This window comes from Homo sapiens, chromosome 10 (genome assembly GCF_000001405.40).
Source record: "Homo sapiens chromosome 10, GRCh38.p14 Primary Assembly".
Lineage (NCBI taxonomy): Eukaryota > Metazoa > Chordata > Mammalia > Primates > Hominidae > Homo > Homo sapiens.
The window spans coordinates 45,955,183-45,981,753 of NC_000010.11; the positions used below are offsets into that span (position 1 = coordinate 45,955,183).

At 40.4% G+C, this 26,571-nt stretch overlaps 1 protein-coding gene and 2 pseudogenes across 6 annotated transcripts in view, besides 2 other annotated features; 1 reads left to right on the forward strand and 2 right to left on the reverse strand.

Annotated features, from left to right (window-relative positions):
• Window positions 1-17,192, reverse strand: part of PARGP1-AGAP4 (PARGP1-AGAP4 readthrough) — a 146,781-nt pseudogene extending 129,589 nt beyond the window's left edge. For both annotated transcript variants that reach the window (NR_160518.1, NR_160519.1), the window contains exon 1: window positions 17,035-17,192. The product of NR_160518.1 is annotated as a PARGP1-AGAP4 readthrough, transcript variant 1 (transcript). The remainder of the gene's footprint in view (window positions 1-17,034) is intronic.
• The window catches only part of PARGP1 (PARG pseudogene 1), a 117,594-nt pseudogene extending 100,348 nt beyond the window's left edge, over window positions 1-17,246 (reverse strand). The window contains exons 1-2 of the transcript NR_029388.2: window positions 17,035-17,246; window positions 7,629-7,812 (exon numbers count right to left, since the gene is read on the reverse strand). The product of NR_029388.2 is annotated as a PARG pseudogene 1 (transcript). The remainder of the gene's footprint in view (window positions 1-7,628; window positions 7,813-17,034) is intronic.
• Window positions 16,791-17,481: an enhancer, noted in NCBI's record as "H3K27ac hESC enhancer chr10:51370889-51371579 (GRCh37/hg19 assembly coordinates)". NCBI's record gives its function as "activates a minimal SCP1, AML or CMV promoter by ChIP-STARR-seq in primed H9 embryonic stem cells {active_cell/tissue: H9 hESC(primed)}" and the evidence as "EXISTENCE:reporter gene assay evidence [ECO:0000049][PMID:30033119]".
• Window positions 16,998-17,127: an enhancer, noted in NCBI's record as "active region_3323". NCBI's record gives its function as "activates an Ori minimal core promoter by ATAC-STARR-seq in GM12878 lymphoblastoid cells {active_cell/tissue: GM12878}" and the evidence as "EXISTENCE:reporter gene assay evidence [ECO:0000049][PMID:35858748]".
• Window positions 17,307-26,571, forward strand: part of TIMM23 (translocase of inner mitochondrial membrane 23) — a 31,254-nt gene continuing 21,989 nt past the window's right edge. For 2 of the 3 annotated variants that reach the window (NR_073029.2, NM_006327.4), the window contains exons 1-2: window positions 17,307-17,548; window positions 20,272-20,330. Coding sequence is in view for 1 of the 3 variants with exons in the window: in NM_006327.4 (NP_006318.1) it covers window positions 17,443-17,548; window positions 20,272-20,330 (165 nt within the window). In the remaining 2 variants the exon portion in view is untranslated. The remainder of the gene's footprint in view (window positions 17,549-20,271; window positions 20,331-26,571) is intronic. The other variant, NR_073030.2, reaches the window with a different exon arrangement.

Genomic DNA, 26,571 nt, shown 5'->3' on the forward strand with positions numbered 1-26,571 from the left:
ACTGTGTTATGAGACCAGCTCAGATTTAGTTTATCTGGTAAACTTAGGTAAGGCTTCCTTGAGGAAGTGGCAACTGAGCTTAACTCTAAAGGCTAAAAAATTAACAAGGAAAAGGGTGAAACAAAAATAAAATTCTAAGCCCCCCAACCAACTGAATGGGCCCCTCCCTCAGCCAAGGGCATTCTAAAGCAAACCCCATACACTAGTTCAGGCCATGATGGGAACGGGTGGTTGGACATGCTTCATTATACCTTCCTCCCTTTGAAATTTAGATGTGACTGACCAGCATTAACATTAAAACAGGTACTTTAAGACTGACAAGGCAGACTCTTTATAGCAATTAAGATACCAACATGACAGATACCAAGCTCTGAAAGAAACGGAAGTATTTTACCCCAAAATGTATTTATTTGAAATATTTTGAAATGGCCCTGCTAAACTGTCTCTTGTGGGTAAAATCTACATTCTGTAGAGCAAGGGTCCCCAACCCCCCGGAATCCAGACAGGCATGGACTAGGGGTCTATGGCCTGTTAGGAACCAGGCCGCATAGCAGGAGGTGAGCAAGGCTGAGCTCTGCCTTCTGTCAGGTCAGTGGCAACATCAGATTCTCATAAGACGAAGAACCCTATTATGAACTGTGCATGTGAGGGATCTAAGTTGCACACTCCTTATGAGAATCTAACAAATGCCTGATGATCTGAGGTGGAACAGTTTCATTCTGAAACCATCCCCCAACCCATGGAAAAATGGTCTTCCATAAAACTGGTCCCCGGTGCCAAAAAGTTGGGGACTGCTGCTGTAGAGAATCCCCTTCCCTTTCCAGGTCTTCCCTGATCCAGTCCAGGAGAGAAGTAATGAAGCATCTGGTAAGAGCTCTGAAGCCTGTTACCTACAAGCATCAACTGCATGATAAAACCTTGGTCTTTAGAAACCCTTCTTAACCCAGACATTCCTTTCTATTGATTCCAGGTCTTTAGATAATAACCCTTTTAACCAATTGCCAAGCAGAGAATCTATGACCTGGAAGCCCCTTTCGAGTTGTCCTGCCTGCTGGACCAAATCAATATGCATCTTACATGTATTGATTGACGTCTTATACCTCTCTAACACATATAAAACCAACCTGTAGCCTGACCACCTTGGGCACATGTACTCAGATCTCCTGGGGCGGTGTCACAGGCCATTGGTCACTCATATTTGGTTCAGAATAAATTTCTTTAAATATTTTACAGAGTTTGACTCTATTCACCAACATTCCTTAAAAAGGGAAGAACTATGGAAAGAAGACTGTCAAAGAGGCAGCTTCATAAAAACATCTGCTGAGACAGAGCAGGGAGCCCTCTTAGGGGCCTGCCAGGAGGGCCCTCAAGCAAGGAAATAAAAGAAAATCTCGAATCCCTTTGTTAGGAATAACGCTCAAAATCCTAAGGAAATTGAACACTCGAACAAAGGATTCTTAGCAAAGCAATTTTACTTCTGCACAGAGGAGTGCCTCCTTGGCCAGTCGCCATGAGAGCACACCTGAACAAAGGGGCACAAGAGCCTTTATTCCTGACGCAAGTCCTGCCCCTGTACCCTTTCCCCATTGGCTGGGGTTGGGTCGTACAATCTAAACTAATTCCAGTTAGCTAAACATTTGATTCTTTTAGATAAGGTGGGCATGTGAAAGAAAGCGGAGAGGAAAGGGGAAGGCATGTCTGTAATAAGCTAGAAAGTTAGTTCTCTTTCCAAATAAGGAAAGGAATGTGAGCTGGTATTGATAACGCTTGGTACTGTGACGTGCCTGGGCATCTAACAAAGGCAAAATGGAAGAAAGGAGAAAAAGGAAAAAAGGAAGGGGGGCACTATGAATTAAAGAATAAAAGACTGATCAGGTTATTTGAAGAGAAACCTCATCATATCTGAAACCTTCAAGGGAAATTCCAGGCACCTATCTAGCCTTGAGAAGTAAATGAGCCACCAGATAAGCAAGGAGGTAATAACAGCTTAAACCAATAGCCACTCATGGAAGTCAGAGCCACAAGATGTGTTGCTCCCTATAGAAAATAAAGATAACATCTTGACATAGGTCCCTGAGTTATTTTTCAGAAACTCAGACCCCCGCCAAATGGAAAGTGCCAACCACCATCATCACATAAGGGGGAACTGAAGACTGAACTCTGACTGACGTTCTTCATTCTAAATTTCTTCCTGAGGGGCCCGGAGACAGTGACACCCACATGCCAAACCTTAACATTCCTTTCCACTGATCCCAAGTTTCTAGACAAAGCCTTGCTTCCTTAAACAATCGCAAATCAAAGAATCTCTGAATCCTGCAACCCCACTTCAAGATATCCTGCCTTTTGGGACCAAACCAATATATAACCCCCACGTATTGATGTATGATTTTGCCAATAACTTCTGCTTTCCTAGAATATATCTCTGCCTTTAAAAAATCTTGCTTGTAAGCCATTGGGGAGGTCAGGTTTTAAGCAATAGCTACCTTATTCTACTTGCTTGGTGCCCTGCAAACAAACACCCTTACTTCTCTTGCTACAGACGTCAGTGTCGGTGTTTGGCTTTACTGCACTGGGTGAGTGTACTCAGGTTCAGTTTAGTAACACTGCAACTTAAGAAAAATAAACCTGGGCAGGGGGTGGTGGCTCATGCCTGTAATCCCAGCACTTTGGGAGGTTGAGGAGGGTGGATCACAAGGTTAAGAGATCGAGACCTTCCTGGCCAACATGGTGAAACCTCATCTCTACTGAAAATACAAAAATTAGTTAGGCATCGTGGCGCACGTCAGTAGTCCCAGCTACTTAGGAGGCTGAGGCAGGCGAATCGCTTGAACCTGTGAGGCAGAGGTTGCAGTGAGCTGAGATTGTGCCACTGCACTCCAGCCTGGTGACAGAGCAAGACTCTGTCTCAAAATAAAGAAAGAAAGAAAGAAAAATAAACCTGTGAGTCATCTATATAGGTGATCACTAAAACCACAAGGGTGGGTGAGACCAACCAGAGAGAGACAGAAGAAAAAAGGACCTATGAAAAAGGCTTGAGGAACTCCAACAACACTTACTTGTCACATACAGAAGAACAGCCTAAAAGGAAAATAAGAATTGGCTGAGGAGGAAGAAAGAAATTTAGGATTATATTGTGTCACGGAGCCAAAGGATGAGTATATTCCAAGGAGAAAAGAAATGTCTATGGAGTCAAATGTGGCCAGGCACAGTTGCTCACGCCTGCAATCTCAACACTTTGGGAGGTTGAGGCTGGAGGATCACTTGAGGCCTGGAGTTCAAAATCAGCCTGGGCCAACATAGCTACAAATTTAGAAAATTAGCCACGTGTGGTGGCACATGCCTGTAACCCCAGCTACTCAGGAGGCTGAGGTGGGAGGATTGCTTGAACCTAAGAGTTGGAGGCTGCAGTGAGCCAAGATCACACACCACTGCTACTGCAATCCAGCCTGGGTGACGGAGTGAGATCCTGTCTCTTTAAAAAAAAAAACAAAAACAAAACAAAAGAAGGCCAGGAGCAGTGGCTCCCACCTGTAATCCCAGCACATTGGGAGGCCCAGGCGGGTGATCACCTGAGGTCAGGAGTTTAAGACTAGCCTAGCCAACATGGCGAAACCCCGTCTCTATTAAAACTACAAACATCAGCCGAGGTTGGTGGTATGCACCTGTAGTCCCGGCTACTTGGGAGGGTGAGGTAGGAGGATCGCTTGAACCCGGGAGGCAGAGGTTGCAGTGAGCCGAGATCACACCACTGCACTCCAGTCTGGGTGACAGAGCAAGACTCCATCTCAAAAAAAAAAAAAAAAAAAAAGCCAGATGTGACAGAATCAGCAGTTATGCTGAAAGTATTTTCACCCTCATAAGAAGGTCCCAAAGGTGATTTTATAAGGACGTTCCATATCATCTGATAAAACAGCATAGGTACCAGTTGAGCTTCACAAAAGGGGAACATACATGTAATATGCTTTGTGTGTGGCTCTGTGTTTGCATGCACGCACGTATGCATGTGTTTGTTGGAAATCGACCACTAAGTGCAATTTCAGATTGCCTTACATTTCTAAAGCTAAATGTTGGTTTTATTTTTAAGAAACAGGGTCTTACTCTGTCATCCAGGCTAAACTGCAGGGCTCAAGTAATCCTTCTGCCTTAGCCTCATGAGTAGCTAGGACTACAGGCATGTGCCACCATGCCTGGCTAATTTTTTAACTTTTTGTACAGATGGGCTCTGCCTATGTTGCCCAGGCTAGTCTTGAACTCCTGGCCTCAAGCGATCCTCCTGCCTTGGCGTCCTAAAGTGCTGGGATTACAGGTGTGAGCTATCATGCCCAACTTTCATTTTACTATTTCAAAATCTGTAACTATTAATATCTGGAATCTTAATAATGTAACTAAACACTGCTATTAAGTAACTGTTAATTACATTTATATCTTATTATCATATTCAGGAATAAGAATCTAGAAGAAAATACAACAAACTGTTAAACTCTGGGAATAAGACTGACAGATGGGTTTTCTGAGTTACATGCTTTCATATAATAGTTGCATATTTTTTACAATAGTCTTGCATTGCTCTTGTAATAAAACAGAAGATTTTAAAAACTCAAGGGTCCTGGGTATCTAAGAAAGAAACATTAACTATAGAGATTATTTGATGGTAGAGATGGTAGATATTAGAGAGATATAATGACGGTACAGGATGGTTTGGGTTTTCTTTGTGGGAGGGTGGGAGAGAGGAGGAAGAGAAAAAGCTAAAATATCACTTAACACCCTCTGTCCATCTTTTCTCCAGTTCCTCACCATTAACATCATCTCAGTAATCCAGACTAAGAACCTTAATTTTACATGCATTATCAACAACTCCTTTTTATTTGTCACCCATATTTAGGAATTCACCATATTCTATCAATTTTACCTCATAATAATGCAACCTTCTATTTTCTTTTTTATCCCCATGATTATTATCTCAGTGATTTTCAAGCTTTTTAAAATAGCAGAATCCCTTTTTTCCCTAAGAAATTTGACATAAAGTAATTTAAAGTCACACCAAAGCTATTTTTAGAAATACAGTTTTTGGCCGGGCGCGGTGGCTCACGCCTGTAATCCCAGCACTTTGGAAGGACAAGGTGGGCAGATCACCTGAGGTCGGGAGTTTGAGATCAGCCTGACCAACATGGAGAAACCCCGTCTCTACTAAAATACAAAATTAGCCAGGCGTGGTGGTGCATGCCTGTAATCCCAGCTACTCGGGAGGCTGAGGCAGGAGAATTGCTTGAACCCGGGAGGTGGAGATTGCCATGAGCCGAGATCGTGCTGTTGCACTCCAGCCTGGGCAGCAAGAGCAAAAAACTCCATCAAAAAAAAAAAAAAAAAAAAAGAAATACAGTTTTTATAGTAACTTTTACTTACTCTAATATCAATAAGTGATGATGAGACAGTTTTAAATACAAAATTTGAAAGTAGGAGTTAGGGATGAGAGTTAAAGCTTACATCAATCTACCATTTAGTTTACATTTATCTCTCTTACACATTATTAAGAAAATCCTGATTCATCCATCTATACAGTTGCAAATGGTAACATTTTACAAACTTTATTTTGATATTAAGCTAACTCTTCAGATAAATGGTAGCAAGGGAACCTTGGCTCTATCGTCTGCACAAAAATGGGTTATCTTGGCAAAAACAGCTGGTTCAAATGTGGAATTAAGCATCTTCAAATTTGATTGTGCAGTTCTTTTTTAACAAGTTTTTCACTGTTAAAAATATAATTTAGAAATGAAATTTGCATCAAACTTCAAAAGAACCCCTGAAGCACCTCTATGTGGCACAATTCGGTACATACTGTTACCTTACTTAACTCTTATCTGGGCTCTTACATTACCTCTCCTGTCTCCCAGTGTATCCTCACTTCTGTTTTCCTTACATGCAGCTGTCTGATTAATCTTGCTACAGCACAGATACTGTCTGCACAGACATGACTTAAGTCTGGTTCCTGGCACTTGAAGCCCCCTGTGATATGAAGCCAATCCAATTTTCAAGTCTCTTCCTCATTCCCCACCCAAATTCCACACTCCAGCAAAGGCACTGTTTTCCATTTCTAAAACAGATAGTTTTCAACCACACAGCCTTTTCTTATAAACCTTATATATCTGTCTGGAAGTCTCCTATCTTACTAACTGCACCTCAGAAATTTATGCTTATCTTTTAGAGCTCAGCTCAAACCCCATAACTCTGCTCAATGTTACTCTCACCTCTAAATATGCTAAAGAATTCTGAATTTCAAAATAGTTAATCACATCTACACTAAATTGTATGTTAAAAGGGATCATGTCAATTTTTTTTAGTACTGCGTGTGAAATCTATATAAAACCTGACTAATAAATGAGATGAATGTTTAAAACTACCCAGCAAGTGATGGAAATCTAAAACTGGATTATGGTGATGGTCACATAGCTCAAAAAATGGACTCAATATCACCAAATCGAGCACTTAAAATGGGTGAATTTTTATATACCTCAATGAAGTTGTTTTTTAAAAGCAAGAACACACAAAAAGTACAAAAGAGGTTACTAAGAACTAGGGGAAGCAGGGAAGGAGGTTTAATTATTTAATATGTTTAATATGTACAGTTTCTGTTAGTATAGTGTTATGATATTCACATTGGTTTTTGTCCAGGTTCTTGGCTTGTAACTCCCATAGCCCTCGTTATAGTCTTTTGTTATAATGTTAGTCTTTTGTTATGTTTTGTTACAATGTTGTTATAATGTTATAATATAATGTTAAAACAAACATGGTAACAGCCCTTTCCCAAAAGAAACCCCCTTCTTGCCTGGGGACTAGAGTGCCACTGTAGGACTAACAAAATAGCCACAAGATTAGAAATAATGGTTTAGGAGTCATGCAGCTGGAGGCTACAAGATTCTGACCCACCCTAAACTGCTAAGATCAGTGCTTGGGATATTTTGCAGACCCTGCACTTGATGGATCAGCTGGCATCACCCAGATGGATATACTGGCTCATCTGATCTTGTCCCCACCCAGGAACTGACTCAGCACAAGAGGACAGCTTCAGCTTCCCATTATTTCTTCTTCTGACCCAACCAATCAGCACTCTCGACTCACTGGCCTTCCCCAACCCACCAAATTATCCTTAAAAACTCTGATCCCCGAATGCTCGAGGAGACTGATTTGAGTAATAAGAAAACTCTGGTCTCCAGCAAAAAAAAAAAAAAACAAAAACAAAAAAAAGGCACAACTGGATAATGATTTAAGGACACTAAACCATACGTAATTTTGAAATTTAGGGACGAATGCAGGATTCTGCAGTCAGTACACAATACTATCAACTGAGTAAAAAGAAAAAAAAAGAATCCAATGAGGTTTCTTAAAAATACTGGAAAAAAAAAAATTATCTTCACCATCAGCTGATAATGATTGCTAATGATTGCTAATTTGTTAAGTTCTATACTAAGTAAGTTATCATTATATTGCTCCATTCTGTAGAATTCTCAGTATTTTATATATGCAGAAAACAGAAGAACTTTCTAAGCCTTGGTCTGTTTCTCACTTAATAAATATCACAATAAATAAGGACTTCCAGTCTTCTCTCATCATAGATAAGAGGTGCTACCTACCCAAACAGTTACTGTGTGATTGGCAGATGGTCTCAAGAGAGGCAGCCGGATCCCACACTGAGGCATTCTTCTCATCTCCTCAATGGGAGTTCCAAGCCACTTCTTATCTGGAGAAAGGTGAGGCGGAACGTATTTAGGGATCTTCCTTTCTGTTCTTTGATGTTTGGTTTCCCATTGTTCTTTTCTAAGGTCAAGACAAATGTATTTAGTCACAAATTATTTACTGTTTTAATTCCCTTAGATACACAAGCACAAAACTTACCCAGACGTTATTGTTTAAAGTATGCCATACTTGGTCACTCACTTCGTTATGTTTTATATTTACAATCAAAAGAAAAACCTATAAAGCTTATAAAACTCAAGAGCTTATTTTCAACAGTCTGTGGAAGAAAGTTCCAAACACATGTAAATCACCTTCTCAAAACAGAAATGAGTCATGGTTCACAGTATCATCTACACAGTAATTTTCAATGAAGTGAACTCACTATTGCATGCTGATTGCACTATCTCAGGAAACTCAAATCACAGAAATCATGGATGGGATTTAAGATTCCATATGGGGTAACGGCAAAATATAAGCTTTGTAATAGGACACACCTGGATTTAAATCCCAGCATTACCACTCAGAAGGTACATGATTCCAGTGAATTCTCTTACCCAAATCTCAGTTATCTCATTTAGTGAGTATAATACCATCTGTCTGCCTGTCACGGCATTAAACAAAGTGTTAAAAAAAAAAAAGTGTAATATACAATGGTCTAGAAGAATGTCTGGCTGAAGAAACAGTAGCTACTATCAACCTAGTATTTTCATGTTCTAGTAATTCCCATAAATACCAAAAGGAAACTCATGAAACTAAAAATCTGATTTCTAATATTTATTTTATTTCTTGTTTTCTGTTTCTAGCCTTTTTAGAGTTTAAACTTTGGAGCCTAGGTTTAAATTTAGCATAAGTAGTTAACAAGAAACAAAACCATTTCTTTGCTTTACTAGAAATCATAGCTTCGTTAAACTCCCTTACAAAACTATAAAGCATATTATGCTATTGGAGAGATACTCCTGACAGAAAATTACCTTCTGTCCTCTGCTTTGGGCAGTCTCATGAAATGATCTGTGATTTTAGAATCCTTTTTTCCATGTTGCTTAGAATTTCTGCATTCTACATTCAGGCTAGAAATATTTCCAGGTAGTTTAGCATTTAAATCATTCATTCCAGTGTGACTCTCTCCTCCTTCAAATTGGAAATGTAATCTAACTTCACCGCCCTTAGTAGAGTACCGTTTCCTGAATTCAATGTCAGCGTCTCTTGCTTGGAACCTTGAAGGTTTATTTGCTGTTTGGGAGGAACTACCATCTTCTTGTTCATCAAAACCTGGACTTGTCTCCTCATCTGCTTCTGAGTCTTGACAACTATTTTTAGAATTATCCACATCCATCGGTGATTCGGGTTCACTTTCCTTCTCAAATGGAGGAGAATTTCCTAGGCAACTTTCTTGTCTAATCAATTTGTTGTCATTTTTTGACCCAGTACCAACATCCTCAGAGCCAACATCTGACAATGGACTCTTTGGCACCACGTCTATCTCATCTTGCTGACAACTTGCACAGTCTTCCCCAGGATGGCAAGACTTGCTGCACTTCTGGTGGCTTTTGGCTTCTCTGGCGTGTTCATCTTCCGTAGTCTGCTTTGCATTTGCAAGCTTTACAGTTGTGAGAAACTGTTGATTGTCTCTATTCTCTTCACTATCTGTGTCACTGTGATCATCATTTTGAGGTGACCGATCAATGTTAGCATTACTAAACTGCTCTGGTACCAGGGTTACTGTTTGAGGTTCACTTTCCAAAAGCTGCTCCGTGTGTTTCCCTTCATTTTGCCACTTACACATTGCTGCAGTCTGATGCTGGTTCAAATACTGTGTACTTTTTTCAGTGAGTGACTTATCAAGACTTAGCTGAGAAACATTTTCTAATTTTTCTACATTATGTTGGTAAAAGTTATCTTCTTGTACAGAACTCATCATGGATTCTATTATTGTATTGTTGTTTTCTTTACTATCCAAACTACAAGAGAACAGAAGGAACTAAAAACAACTTATAATACAAACAAGTCACTTATCCAATCATACCTCCAGTGTCACAGCAGTAATTAAACTCCCTGTGGTCAGCTGAGCACACAGCATGTCTTCCATGACTCCATGTCTTTGTATGTGATCCCTAATGCCCTCCCTGCAGCTGTGTGTCTGGCAAACACCCGCCTTTCCTTCAAGTCATAAATGTCACTCACCTCTCTGTGCAGTCTTCCTTTAGGGACCAAAGGTAAAGTTGAACATTTGTTTCTTCTACACACTAACCACCACTGTGCCTTGCTCATACCTTTACTATTGCATCTATCACACCAGGCAGTAATTATGTGTTTTTGTGTCTGTGGCCACTGCTACACTGTAAGTATCTTAAAGACACAGACTGGCCGGGCGCAGTGGCTCACACCTGTAATCCCAGCACTTTGGGAGGTCGAGGCAGGCAGATCACGAGGTCAGGAGATCGAGACCATCCTGGCTAACCCGGTGAAACCCCATCTCTACTAAAAATACAAAAAATTAGCCAGGCGTGGTGGTGGGCGCCTGTAGTCCCAGCTACTTGGGAGGCTGAGGCAGGAGAATGGCGTGAACCCAGGAGGCAGAGCTTGCAGTTAGCCAAGATCACGCCACTACACTCCAGCCTGGGCAACAGAGTGAGACTCCATCTCAAAAAAAAAAAAAAAAAAGACACGGACTATTCCTCTCTCATCTCGGTATCTCAAGTATACAGGACAGTCCCTGGCACACAGGACTCTCTAAAAAATTACTTATAAGTTGATTTTGAATTAACATAGATAAAGGAGAACAGAAAAGCATGAACAAAGAGAGAAAATATTAAAGCAACAAGATAAAACATCCATGTATTATTATTCATTTCTCTACATAGGAATGTTTCTATACCTGTCTGATTCCGCTGTCTTGATTCCTTCAGTGTCCATCCAACTGGTAATAGTTTTTTGTTTGAAAACTATAAAAAAAATGTATATTCATACATTCCTTCCAATAGAAAACATATACAGCATATTGTACATGCAAGGAACTATGCTAGGTTCTACGGGTTAAACAAAAGATTAATAACTCAAGTATTTGCCCTCAAGTATATGGGTAAGACAGGAACATAAATGTTAATACATATGACACAGGGTAGAAAATGACTGGTGCCTAAAAGAGTTGGTATGGCCTAATGGATAAGAGCATAGGCTATGGAATCAGAACATCTGCATTCAAATCCTGATTCTCCCATTAGCTTCCTATGTTACTCTGTGAGGGGTCATTTCTCTGTATCTCAGATCCCTCATTTGTAAACATGCAAAATAACTATCTCTCATGAGATAAGGCTTAATTAAGTAAAAATAGTTCATGTAACGCATTTAGGGCATTATCTGGTTTACGCTTAGTAAATGTTGATTCTTAATTATCATGATTATTAAAAGAGGTCCTGATAAAGGAATTAAGGTTATTTCTGAGGAAGACACTACTTCAGTGAACAGGAGAACATGGGCATAATCGGTAAGATTTCTTCGGAAAAGGTAAGGCTTGACTTATGCCTTGAAAAGTAAACATGCAGTCACATAAAGAGAAAATTATAAGCAAAGGCACCAATATCAGGGAAATATAAAGAACTTAAAAAGAAAGCAAAAGAAAATAGGGTTGAAAAGTCAGCCAGGATCATACCATACAATAGGATCTTGAATGACCCACAAAGAGAAGCACAAAAAACGTGTTGAAAGACATGATTCCTCTCATCTAGGAGGCTCACAGTCATGCATGACAGCCTGGAGGATAAATTTGAGGGGCAAGAGGGAAGAGCGTATTGCCAGAAACTAGGGAGGAAGCTACTAGTCCAGGTCAGTGGTTCCCAAACTATCTGGATCATCAGGAAGCCAGCCACACCCCAGTCCTTCTGAATCAGAATCTATATGTGAGTAGGATGAAGGCATGAGGGGAGCTGGAATCTATTTTTTTTTTTTCCAAAAGTGATTCTGATGATCCACTAGATTGAACAGTTACTTGCCAAGAACATAAACTAGTCCTTGTGAGAGTAGTAAAAGTGAGGAGAGTCATTACAGACTTCACAATAATAGGGGAAGTTAAAAGTGACTTTAAGCTTTGAGCTTGAGAGACTTGAAAAGTGATGACAGCCTTAAGTAGAAATATGGAATACAAGAGAATTGTGTTTAGGGAAGAAATACGATTAGGTCAATTCTGCCTATACTAAATTTGAGATGCCAAAGAAGTAACTAGATAGAAAACCATATCACTACTTCTGGCTTCCTAAGGTTTCCTTCCCAACACACCAGCAGACAGTAGCAAAAGTAGAATTGATAGCTCAGGAGAGGGAGATTAAATATAAATAAATACAAGCCACATTTTATATAATCATTAGAAATAAGTATGCTGTCAAAATTTAACATACTGAATAGGGATTAAATGTACATCATATTTTAGTATCAGAAATAAAATCTTAAACATTCGCAAATGTTTAAGATTTGAGATACTCACTAAATTGCAATGTAAGAATCTTAGCATCCTAAGTCACAGGATCTTTCTTATTTACCTACCTCTCCTCAAACACCATATGGAGCAAAACAGATGCAGGCCAAATATACGAAAATCAATGGTTTATTTTTCATTGAAATAATGGCATAATCGAAATACATTTCAGATGGGGAGAATTTTATACCAGAAAAATATTCAATTGCTATATAATCTTTACCTTCCACAAAATACTTATAATCCAGCTAGTAAAAATCTTTGATTAATGTTTCAAAAATAGTTTCTATCACAAAAAAGTAATCACGCATAGTGATTTCTTATTGTTAAACACCATTACTTCCACGATTTTATTTAGCATTTCTGCAGCAGATCAGGCTTCAGAGAAAAAATGAGCTTCAGTCAGAGGGAGTAAGAGGATAAACCATTTGATTCTGAAATTTTTTCTACAGTTCTGTATTCTCTATTTATTTTCTTTATATCAAATACAGCAAGTATAGTTTAGAAAATCCTCAAATTGGGCCGGGCACAGTGGCTTACGCCTGTAATCCCAACACTTTGGGAGGCCGAGGCAGGCAGATCACAAGGTCAGGAGATTGGCTAACACGGTGAAACCCCGTCTCTACTAAAGATACAAAAAATTAGCCAGACGTGGTGGCGGGCGCCTGTAGTCCCAGCTACTCGGGAGGCTGAGGCAGGAGAATGGCGTGAACCCGGGAGGTGGAGCTTGCAGTGAGCGGAGATCGCGCCACTGCACTCCAGCCTGGGCGACAGTGTGAGACTCCGTCTCAAAAACTAAAAAAAAAATCCTCAAATTACAAACCAGTAATATGCCAAAACATTCATTTTTTGAGTTGGTTTAGAAGTTAAAACATCTTTTTTCCATAAATGTAAGGATTAATGTTAAGATGCAATGACTAGGTTCCTATAACACACACGAAGCATGTACTCCCGTGATAAGTCTAAAGAACCTAAAGACCGCACACATCATTTCATGAAAAACCAGGAGTGTTCCAGTGATGGCAAAGAAGAAGAGAGCTCTCTCCCGTAGCCCTGACCCTGAGAATGTGTTCTCTCTCCAGTTTCAGGCTTCCTGAAGCCTGGGGAAGGGATGAAGGAGGAAAAGCAAGAGGTAAGGAACCAGTATCTTCTGCTAATAAAACATTGATCAGTCCTTCTTAGGGCCTCAGAGAAAGGACTGCTTACTGCTCTTTGCAATATCACTTCGTTAAGCCTTTATTTCCTCACCCAGAAAATGAAGCTAACAACACCTACTTCTAAGGGTTATGTGGATCAATTACAAAGCAAAAATTAGAGAAAATATTGTGTTCAGCCTCACAAAGCACTCAATATGTTATCTCTCGACATTTCCACCCAGTCTTTTTTTTTTCCACTGAGATCAATAATTCTCCAACTTTGACTTCACACCATTTACATTTACTCTCATCAGCAACATTATTCAGTACCCAGTATATTTTAATCAGCAAGTCATTCAATTAATAGCTATAGATACAGCCAAAAGGCACAAAATGCAATAAAATTCACCTGCATGTCAAAGGAACATTCCACTTTCACAAAAAGTCTATAGCAACACATCTGGATAAACCTGCGTCATCACAATGTGAATAACATGCTGAGTTCTGCCAATATGCAGGTTTGCAGATTTTTTTTTTCTTTTTTCAGAAGTGGGGTCTCGCTATGTTGCTCAGGCTGGACGGGAACTCCCGGGCTCAAGTGATCCTCTTGCCTTAGCCTCCCAAGTAGCTGGGACTACAGGTGCATGCCCAGCAAAATTAGCGATTTCAGTCAATACAAGAAATATGTCCAGGAAGATAAAGAATATAAAATTTAAAGATACTGAATAAATATCCATTTCGCTACCCCGCCTACTTGTCCTAAGATAATTATATATAAAAATTTAAATACCAAGTTCCTAAAGGAATCCCAAAAATTCAAACAATGGGCTTTTGATACAAATATAGTCTTTGAACATTCTGTTAATTGGTGTCCTGTGCCAGGTATACAGAAAACATTTAAACATGCGAAATACAGCCCCAAGTATTCATTTGGTACCTCTTCTGCAGAAATCTTAATTAAGATCCAACCAGTGAGGACTGACTGCCCTCACCCCTATTTGCAACTAACTCCTCCTCCTTTACATGCAAATAAGGTTAATGAAACCACAAACTATCCAGTCACAGAAGCTGAAGTACACCTGAACATATACCTGAAGTTCACCTTCAGTTCCCTCTCCCCTATACCAAGTTCTCTGAAATCTACATCCTAAATTTTAAATCCATCCCTTCCTCATACTCTTTAAACACATCGCTTACTAGACAACTGCCATTTGTTTCTTGCAACTAGTCTCCCTGTCTACAGCCTTGACTATCCAGTGTTCTACAAACTACAAATGACCAGTCATTTTTCAATGAAATAACACAGACAATATAAGAATGCATCACACATAGAAAGATTAAGTATTATTTCATGAAACATTTATTTCAGTTATAAATATGGCTTATTTGCCAGGTTACATATATTTCTTACTCTGTGTACTGGATAAAATTTATGCTGTGGGTTGCAGTTAGGAAAGTCCAAAAGCCACTTTTCTAAAATATTAACCAAATGGTATTCCCACGCTTAAAAGCTTTTTAGTGGTTTCTCCATTAACCACAGAATAAGGTTGAAATTCCTTAAAATGGAATTTGAGTTTCTTCATAAGCTCCTGTCTGCCACCCAGCCTCATCAGACACTCCTCTGTCATCTTATGCTCCAGTCTTACCAACTTTTGCATGTCTTATTCCCTCTGCGTGTATAATTCTTTCTCCTCTTGATTTATACAGCAAATCTTCCTCATCCTTCAAGGCCTAGTGCAAGTCTACTTGGTACTGTCCCTAAGTTCGAAGACATCTAAGTGTACACTCTTCACCAGAGAACTGCCCGAGCTCTGCCCAGCCTCTTACACTGTTAATGAATGCATCCTTTTTGAAATGCTCTCCTTTGTCTGACACAACACGAGCCAGGCTTTCCTCCCACCTCTACAGCCGCTTCTCTTCAGTCTACTCTTAAACTTTGGTGTTCCTAAGGCTTCTGCCCTAGGTCACCTTTACTTTCTCTACATGTTTATGTTATCTATGCCCATAGCATCCATTATAATGTTTATGCCATGAACTCCCCAATCTACTTCTCCAGCACAGAAATATTTCTTCTCAAGTATCCCATTCTTTCATGAATCCATCCCCTTCCCTATTGCCAGCATCCAGGCCTAAGCTACAATTATTTCCAACCTAGATTAACTCCTTAACTGAGTCTTGATGCTCCACTTGAGTTCCTTTTCAATCCATTCTTTATTTTCCACACACCAGCCACACAGACTTTTCAACAAATAAATAAGTCTAATCAAGTCACTCCCCTACTAAAAACCCTTGAGTAGCTTATCAATGCCCTTAGAGTTCAAAATCCTTAGCAATGTCTACATATCCAATTTGATCTGACTTTTCTGTACCACCCTGCAGCCTCATCTCTCACACTCTCTTGCGTTCACTCTATATATCAATTGCACTCCTGTTTTTGTTTTGTTTTGTTTTGTTTTGTTTGAGGCGGAGTTTCGCTCTTGTTGCCCAGGCTGGAGTGCAATGGTGCCCTCTCGGCTCACTGCAACCTCCGCCTCCCGGATGCCAGTGATTCTCCTGCCTCACCTGCCTCAGCCTCCGGAGTAGCTGGGATTACAGTTGCCCGCCACCACGCTAGGCTAATTTTTTGTGTTTTTAGCAGAGACGGGGTTTCACCATATTGGTAAGGCTGGTCTTGAGCTCCTGACCTCAGGTGATCCACCCGCCCCGGCCTTCCAAAGCGCAGGGATTACAGGCAAAACCACCGCGCCCGGCCTCCATTGCACTCCTGAAACACTTCTTACTTCCTCTTCATCTAACTCCTACTCATTCTACAGTCCTCAGAATAAGCATCTCATCTTCTGGAGGACTATTTTCGATTCCATAAATTCAGTTAGGTAAAACAATCTGTCTTTCATCTATCAGAACATCCATTACCTTTTATTATATTAACTTTTGCTATCGTCTATCTCTCCAGATAGATTTTAAGGTATGAAGGCAGAGGCCAAGTTTCTCTCATTCAACACTGTATACCAGGGACGGGTACAATGCCAGCTTAGACTAATAGCTCTGCACCCTGGGACCCAGAATCTGCACAAGTGAAGTTGTTTTCTTCCTATCTAGAGGCTGAAGCGCCCTACTGTTTTACATACACAATTAGATCTCCTTGACGACTAAGGCAATTTCTCAATCAAACCTGAAGAAGCAAACAGGTGGTGGAGTCTCCTGCCATTTTCCGCCCTGTGAGTGACTGCTCATCAGAGTTTCTCACATCAATCGCACTGGGAAAAATGCGGCCCCATTCACCCACTAGTGGCTTTGGTAGCTCAGCAAGTGGACCTCAGAGTGATGATGCACACAAGACCAGAAAGGAGTGACTGGAGTCCCTGAGACCAGAAGGTTCGGGCCGAGGCGAAGGACAAAGATTTTTATTTTCCCACGTACCAAGCGAGGTGGCGCTGCCTCTGTGCTGTCCCGCCTGCCCTGGGACGCAGGCTGGCGAGGACGGTGGGACCCTGAACTGCACGTGAGCGTCCTTGGGGTCGAGGACGCGCCTCTGCCTGCTCGGAAAGCTCCGGGCGTCCGAAGCAGCCGGCGAAGTTGTAGCGGCGCCCCAGCGGGGTCGCTTGGTGCAGGGTTCACAGCCGGGGCCCGCATTCATGCTGGGACCAGCAGCGCACTGTCCCCGGGCCGGCCCCGGGCGGAGAGCCTCATTTCACTAACCTGAGAGAGATGGACTGCGCGTCCTTCTCAGCGCCTGCCTGCACCATTCCCTCTCTGCCGCTGCCTGCTTCTGCAATTGCTGATCCGCCGGCCTCCCAAGTCAGGCCGTAAACACTCGCCTGCTTTCTCTCTTCCACTGGCACCCCACCTGCCTCAATGCGCCGCTTTGATTCGGGATTCGTTCACTTTCCCACCACCGGAAAGCTGCCGTCAGGCGCTTCCAGCTTCCGGGGCGCACATTGCCGCAAAGCGGAAGTGTGGCGCTTAACGGGAACCGGCGCCCGGAAGGTCAGCGTGTGAAGTAGGCGCTGGCAACGCGGGGTTACCCGCTGTTATTGAGGAGTAACGGCCCAGCGGACCACCCAGGCTTGAGGCAGCGGCGGGAACCACTCGGTTTGCTGCGATACCATGGAAGGAGGCGGGGGAAGCGGCAACAAAACCACAGGGGGATTGGCCGGCTTTTTCGGAGCCGGCGGAGCAGGTTACTCGCACGCGGATTTGGCTGGCGTCCCGCGTAAGTATGGGGCCTAGCTTGCGATTATTTCTGACTGGTTTTTGCGTCTACACTAAGTTGCGCGTCCCATGTTTTATGTTGTTGTTTTTTTTTTCCTTGCTGGCATTTACAAGCTTAAGTACCAGTGGTGGGGTTAGTGTATCTGCATGGCTGCTCTTTCAAGATAGAAAGGCCTAAAAAAGGGCCACGGATCTCCTGGGGAAGCTGTCCGTGATTGACCTGGACTCGCGAGATGATGCATGTTTTCTTAGGTTTATATCCAAGCCTCCTACGTTTTGTGTGTGGTGGGCCGTGTGATTGACCCTTGATTAAGAGTAGAGCCGAGCTTTGGGAGTAAATGTATTCCAAATAGCAAGCCCGTAGTTAACTTTTTAGTACACAGCGACATATTCTGAGCCTCCAAGTAGCCGTCAGGGCAGAATATTCAGTAATATTGTTTGTAAGTGAGAAATAAATGACTTGGGACAGGCTAGGAAACCTTCTTTAGGAGCTAGGAAGTAAGCTGAACTTTAAAGGTGATATATAGACATGAAGAAAGAAGCCAGGTAAGAATTATAGAAACGGAAATAGGCAACATCAAGGTATACAGAGGCATAAATATCTTGCCTTTGCCTCTCCTCGGTCTTGTGAAAATGTTTTCCAGAACTTTGGTACTTTGTAACTGTGGTTGTTCAACTAGATAAATACAACTTGGACCTAAAGATAGGCAGTTGGTCGTGGATAAAGCCTTTACGAAAGTACTTTCTTTTTAGAGAATCCTTGTAATATTTCTCTAGGTATTTTATACTAAGGAACAACAACAACGAAATATGTTCAGACTGTAGTGCAAAAAAATATAAAAGACCTTTCATTTCCCTGGTGTCACCTTTGTCAAAAAACTGAATCTACAACACATGGTGTTTTGTTTCGTTTTTTTGTTTGTTTGTTTTTAGAGTCAGGACCTCGTTCTGTCACCCATATTGGGGTGCGGTGGCATGATTATAGTTCACTGAAGCCTCGCACTCCTGAGCTCAAACAATCCTCCCCTCTAAGCCTCCTAAGTAGCTGGGACTCTAGGTACGTACCACCACGCCTGGCTAATTTTTTTTTTTTTTTGACTTATTGTGGAGATGGGGTCTCCCTGTGTTGTCCAAGCTGGTCTCAAACTCTCGAACTCAGGCCATCCTCCTGTCTCGGCCTCCCAAAATGCTGGGATTCCTAGGCCTGAGCTACTACTTTACCTGTTTAGAACACAGTTTCATATTAATCTTAGTATCTCTGAGTTTCAGAGCACAAAGGGCATATACACTTCCTTAATGTGACAATATTGTTAAATTAATTTGATTAAGATTTGAAGGTAAATTGGGGGACCAGGGAATGAACACCATTTACTGAGCTTTTACAGTGTGCTAGCTACTTTTCTGGGGGCAGGACTATAGTGGTTTTTGTGGGGGTTTTTTTTGTTTTTTTTTGAAAAGAGGACTCTTGCGCTCACAGAGCTTACATAATACTGAGGTAAACCAACAAACATAAATTAAAACATTGCCGTTAGTGATAAGTGCTGTAAAGGGAATAAAGCAGAGTCTTGAGATTGTGATGGAAGCAGGATGCCATTTTAGAGCCGGTTAGGGAAAACATCTCAAGGGAGTTGACATTTGAGCTGTGACCCAAATACAGTACAAATGCTTGGGAGGCAAGTATCCAGGAAAATAGCTAGTGCAAATGTCCTGAAACAAAACAAATTTGGCAGGTTTAAGGAACAGCTCTTAGGCCAGTCTGTCTTCGTAGTTACAAGGGAGTTGGATCCATTGAAGTTTGTGAAATCAGAGAGGTAGGGAATGACAGCTAATGTAGGATTTTGTAAGTTATGGTAAGGAGTTTCGATTTTCTTAAGACAAATCACTGTAGTTGCTATGTAGACAGTGAATTGAAGGGGTAAGAGAAAGCAAGGAGTTAGGAAATTGTTGCTGTGAGATATGATGGTTGGACTAGGATGGTAGCAATAGAGAAGATAAGTAACACAATTCAAAATAGATATTAAAAATAGAACAAGCAGGACTCCTAATTGATGAAAAGATAGAGGCATGGGTGATGCATAGGTTTGTAAATAACTGCTGAGATACAGAAGGATCCAAAGATGATAGGTTTTACTGTTTTCAATGTTAGTGAATTCAGGTCTGGCCCTCTCAAAGTTTGTGTTTTCTTTTGCACAGACCCACATACCTGTGGTAATGACCCAAGGATTCTCAACCTTGCCACAGTAAATCAATCGTTAATAGTAATATGTGAAGGAACTGCCTTGAAATAGTTAGATACAACATGTACACAGTCAGAAAACCCAACCCAACCACTGTTTTTCCCATGGAATTGATTAGTCTTTTTTCAGTCTTATTTTGTAATTTACATAGTCACCAAGCATTCTTGGAGTAAAGTGAAAGAAATTAGCTTTGTAAATGGCCTGGACTACACTTCCTGTAAGTTCAAAAATCAGATCTATGACACTGCAATTATCTTATTGGTGTAAAAGCCTGAGCCACCAGTGGAAGACCTGGTTTGGGATTGAGGGTCTCAGGATGAGTCAGCCCCCAAACTGACAGATAGGGAGGATAAAATGGGAAAAAATTTTCCGCCTTCAGTGAGCCTATAAAAATTGCAAACACATGTAACAGTCAGGAGCTGGATTAACTCTAACTGGATTAACTTAAAGAATTTTGTTGCAATGTGACATTTTGTTTTCTCTCTAGTAACTGGTATGAACCCTCTGTCTCCTTATTTAAATGTGGATCCACGATACCTCGTGCAGGTAAGATTAAGATTTTACTAGTTTGGTGCATTATTTTACCATTTTAAAAAAAACGCCAAGTGCTATGCTGACTTGAACTATGACATACACTTTTGGAGGCAGTAAGTCTCTGGTCTCCATTCACCCTTTTTTCCTCACAAACACCAGGAGCTTGGCCTGCATCTCTCTGAAACCAGTTAACTCCCTTCAAAAGCTTATTTTTTAAAACCAGAGCAGAATTAATTTTTGAAAGCACCCCAATAAAAGTATTGGGATGCCTAGTTACAAAGTGTGTGGGGTTTTTTGTTTGTTTGTTTGTTTGTTTTTGAGCCAGAGTTTTGCTTTTGTCCTCCAGGCTGGAGTGCAGTAGCGCGATCTCTGCTCACTGCAACCTCAGCCTCCCAAATTCAGGCCATCCTCCTGCCTCAGCCTCCCAAGTAGCTGGGACTACAGGCGCCCACCACCACGCCTGGCTAATTCTTGTGTTTTCAATAGAGACGGGGTTTCACCATGTTGGCCAGGCTCCCAAAGTGCTGGGATTACAGGCAAAGTGTGTTTTAAAGCTCAGTTTACAATATCAGGGTTTTTTTGACTAAGCATCAAAAGTTTCAAAGAGTATCTTTTTGAATCCAAGATATATTAGGAAATATATCTTGGGTATATTAGAAAAGCAAGGTTGATTTAACATCTGAAAATTAATGTATTGTGCCATATCAATTTATAATAAAGCAATCAAGGAAAGAATATAGTACAAAGACCACATGCTTATCTCAATAGATTCACAAAAATCATTTGACAACATCCAACACCCCCTTTAATGATTATAAAAACAAACTAGGCTGGGCGCAGTGATTCACACCTGTAATCCCAGCACTCTGGGAAGCTGAGGTGGGCAGATCACTTGAGGCCAGGAGTTTGAGACCAGCCTGGCCAACATAGCAAAACGCTGTTTCTACTAAAAATACAAAAATTAGCCAGGCGTGGTGGTGCCTACCTGTAATCCCAGCTGCTTGAGAGGCTGAGGCACGAGAATCGCTTGAACCCTGGAGACAAAGGTTGCAGTGAGCTGAGAACACCCCACTACACTCCAGCCTGGGCAACAGAGTAAGACCCTATCTCTAAATAAATAAATAAAACTAGACATAAAAGGGACTTCAGCCTGTTAAATGCCATCTACAGAATATCCAAAGCTAACATAATTTAATGGTGAAAGACTGAATGCCTTCTCCCTAAGATCAGGAACAAAATAAGTATATTTACTCTCATTTATATTCAGCATTGTCTGGCCAGGGCAATTAGTCAAGTACGTTAAATGGCATTCAAGTTGAGAAAGAAGTTAAACTATCTGTTTACAAATGACATGATCTTATCTATAGAAAATCACAAGGGAAATCACAAAAATCTGTTAAAACTAATGATCGAGTTCAGCAAGTTGCAGAATACAAGTTCAATATACATAAATCAAATATATTTCTAGACAGTTGCAATGAACACTACAAAAATGAAATTACAAAAAACAGTTGATTACCAATAACATCAAAAAGCAAATACTTAGAAATAAATGGACCAGGTGCAAAACATATTCTGAAAACTATAAAACATTATTGAAATTAAGTGGAAAGACACATGCTATGATCCTGAAAATTTTAATATTAAAATGGCAGTGCTCACCAAATTAACCAACAGATTTAGTGCAGTGCCTGTCAAAATCCCAGCTGGCTTTTTTGCAGAAATTGACAAGCTTTTATCCTAAAATTCATATGGAAATTCAGGGGACATAGAATGGCCAATGACCTTGAGAAAATAGATTGGAGGACTTGAACTTGCCAATTTCAAAACTTTCTACAGAGCCACATCATGATAGTAACATAAGAATAAATCCATAGTTAATGAAATACAGAGTCCAGAAGAAAGACCTTACAATATATGCAGTCACTTGCTTTTCAGCAAGGATGCCAAGATAGTTAAGTCAGGGGAGACGTTAGGACAACTGGAATCCATATGCATAAGAATGAAGTTGAACCCTAACCCTGCACCATATGCAAAATGTTACCACCAAATGGATTAAAGACTTAAATGTAAACTAAAGCAGTCAAACTCTTAGAAGAAATCATGGGCACAAGTAGTTGTGACTTTGGATTAGACTGTGATTTCTTGGATGTGACACCAAAAGCACAAGTGGTAAAAAGAAAGTTGATAAATTGTATTTAATCAGAATTTAAAAATTTTGTGGTTTAGACAATACCAACAAGAATGGAGGCCAGGTGCAGTGGCTCATACCTGTAATCCCAGCACTTTGGGAGGCTGAGGTGGGTAGATCACCTGAGGTCAGGAGTTCGAGACCAGCCTGGCCAACATGGTGAAACCCCATCTCTACTAAAAAACAAAAATTAGCCAGGCGTGGTGCTGGGCGCCTGTAATCCCAGCTACTTGGGAGGCTGAGGCAGGAGAATCACTTGAACCTGGGAGGCAGAGGTTGCGGTGAGCCAAGATCGCGCCACCCGCACTTCAGCCTGGGCAACAGAGTAAGACTCGGTCTCAAAAAAAAAATAAAAAAATAAATAAAGAATGGAAAAAGTCCTGGCGCAGTGGCTCGTGCCTATACTCCCAACACTTTTAAGAGGCTGAGGCGGGAGGATCACTTGAGCCCAGGAGTTTGAGACCTGCCTGGCCAACATAAGAAGATCCCATCTCTCCAAAAAAATACAAAAATTAGCCGGGTGTGGTGGTGTGCACCTGTAGTCCCAGCTACTAGGGAGGCTGAGGTGGGAGGATCACTTGAGTCCAGCAGGTCAAGTCTCAGCATAATCAAACCACTTAACTCCAGCCTGGGTGACAGAGAGAGACTTTGTCTCAAAAGGAAAAAAATTGGGAAAAGACAATCCACAGACTGAGAGAAAATATTTGCATATTATGTATCTGATAAGGAATTTATATCTAGAATATTTAATTTTTTTAACTCTTGAAACATTAATAAAAAATAATTACAAAATGGGCAAAGGATTTGAGTAGACATTTCTCTATGAAGATATACAGATGTCTAATAATGACATGAAAGCTGGTCAGTAACATTAATTAGAGAAATAAAACCACAATGAGATACCTCTTTACACCCACGGGGATCACTATAATCAAAAAGAAAATAATGAGTATTGTTGAGGATGTAGAGAAATTGGACCTCTGTACATTGCTGGTGGGAATGTAAAATGATACAGCTGCTTTTAGAAACAGTCTGGCAGTTTCTCAAAGTGTTAAAAATAGAGTTACCTTATGACTGGCAATTTCACTTGCGTATACTCCATACTCAAGAGAATTGAAAACCTCTGTGCACATAAGTTGTAAATGAATGTTGCTAGTAGCATTATTCATAATAACCAAAAAATGGAAACAAACCAAATGTTTATCCACTGATGAATGGATAAAAAAGTGTGGCATATCCATACAATGGAATATTATTTGGTAATAAAAAAAGAATTATTAAATTGTGCTACAATATAAATGAACCTTTAAAACTTCCTAAATGAAAGAAACCAGTCACAAGAGACCACATATTGTGTGGTTCCATTTATATGGAATGTCCAGAATAGGCAAATATATGGACAAGAAAGTAGATTAGTAGCTGCCAAGGGTTAGGAGTAAATGGGCAGTGACTGCTAATGGGTATGTGATTTTTTTGGGGGGTGATGAAGATGCTTTAAAATTTATTGTAGTCTTGGTTGCACGACTCTGAATATACTAAAAACCACTGAATTGTACGCTCTAAGTAAGTGGATTGTGTGATACATGAGATACAGATCAGTAACTCCATTTTCTCTCTCTCTTTTTTTTCTAAGAGACAAAGTCTCCCAGACTGGAGTTGCAGTAGCAGCATCATAGCTCACTGTAACCTCAAACTCCTAGGCTCAAGCGGTCCTTCTGCCTCATCCTCCCAGATAGCTAGGGCTGCAGATGAACACCACCATGCCTGGCTAATTCTTTTTTTTTTTACATTCTTTGTAGAGATGTGATCTGACTTGGTTGCCCAGGCTGGTCTCTTAACTCCTGGCCTCAAGTGGTCCTTCTGCCTTGGCCTCCCAAAGTGCTGGAATTACAGGCATGAGCCACCATGCCTGGCCTTTTTTTTTTTTTTTTTTTTTTTTTTTAAGCATTATGGTTGGAACCTTTTATTTCACAGTTGAATCACTAACGGCATCTGACAGCTGCTGCATTTCTTGTTTGCGTTAAGTGTTCAAATTGAAGCAAGTTGATGGTTCGGACCTTGCCAATTTAAAGCTTCATTATTTTTGAAATGTTTTTCAAATGTTATATTTTAACATTGGGTGTTCATTGATTTTTTTACTTTAAAAGTACTCCTTTGTCAGTTTACTCAAAATTTCAAAACTAGCTGCATGTATTTTGCTTTAATGTTGAATCTACACTTAGAGGTTGTACTCTAGATCTAGTTAAAATTCAATATCATTGTGGCCCTGCATTGCTAGGTGGGGCTTATTAAGGTTAGACATAAAATATTTCATATCCCCCCAAAAACTTGTGAATTCATTCTTCATCATGAACATTTAATCTTCCATTGGAATTCTAGAGGGACTTCAGACTTTAAAAAGTGTTTTATAAACCTCATCTGTTATTGGAAATAATTCTGGAGACCTTAAATTTAAAGATAATAGAAATTACATTTTGTAAAACTTTTATTTATACTTTTGAAGGTTAGAGACATCTTAAAGAAAATAGTACCTGTCAACTCACCATGTCGTGACTTTGGCAACAACTTTTTTTTTTTCTTGTTTAATAGTAGACACAGGGTCTCACTGTGTTGTCCAGGCTGGTCTGGAACTCCTGGGTTCAAGCAGTCCTCCCACCTTGGCCTCCCAAAGTGCTGGGATTACAAGCGTGAGCTACTGTGCCTAGCCAACTTTTATCTGATACAGTATTGTAGTTTCTCTTACTAATGCTTTTGTATTGTCACTACTCTTGTATCCTTATTGATTTTTTTTTTTAAATTGTGTCAAGTAATAAATTTTTTTGTTAGCCCAGGTGAACATCTGGTACAAAAATAAGGAAAATTTAAATATTTTTAACATCCATAGTGTTAAACACGCAAAATTATAAATTAAAAAAGTTTTTTCTTTTCCCCCAGCAAGTACATTGATACCCATTCTTGGATTTATCTTCCATGTCAGCAAGCTCTGGTACTTGGGATTTTAGTAATACTAGTGTCCTGGAGTGTCAGCAGAACAGGTTTAACAAGAGGTTTTTAGTAAATCTTCTATACATTCAATATATTAACATACTTTGATAACAACCTTGTTTGTGTGTGAATTGATGGACGTTTGCTTGCAACCCTTGTTATATTTTTCAGTTGATACTAGCAGGAGAATGAGTTGGTGCTAACGTGCACTTTTGCTTGCTTGATAATGTTCATCACAGCCTTTTTTTTTTTTTTAAGTTTTCTTTTCTTTTTTTTTTTTGGAGATGGAGTCTCGCTCTGTCACCCAGGCTGGAGTGCAGTGGCGTGATCTCAGCTCACTGCAACCTCCACCCCCGGGTTCAAGCAATTCTCCTGCCTCAGCCTCCCAAGTAGCTGGGACTACAGGCGCACACTGCCACGCCCAGCTAATTTTTTGTATTTTAGTAGAGACGGGGTTTCACCATGTTGCCCAGGGTGGCCTCGAACTCCTGAGCTCTGGCAGTCCACCCGACTCGGCTTCCCAAAGCGCTGAGATTACAGGCGGGAGGCACCGTGCCTGGCCAAGTTTTCTATTCTTAATTAGTAATCTGTTTCTGTATTGAAGGATAATTTTTTTTTTCTTCTCAGCAACCATGGCCTGAGACTGAAGAATAATTATTTACCTTACCACATTGAATCTAGCATTTCTAAAAACTCAAACAAAAAGCAGTTTAATACTAAGTCATTATTTAAAAGTTGAAGTACCCAAAATTTATAAAACTCTATACAATTATATTATGACATGGGATCTATTCAGATTTTATTATTGCCCAACAGACCATTCTTATGTGATGAGAGTGGATGTGTTTGTTTACTTTTGCAATTTTTGGTGAGGATGTGTGCACATGCCAGAAAGAAAAAACCAAGGCAGAACCACAGTTTTCTGATTAGGAATACAATTTTCTGAATCAACGTTCAGTATTTGCCACAAGGATGTAGGAGAATGTTAATTGTCAGTGGTCTTTACTATGTTAAATGTAACACACTATGTGTCTTTTTGCCAAGGGTGTGACCTAGCCATTAGAGGCTTATTTTAAC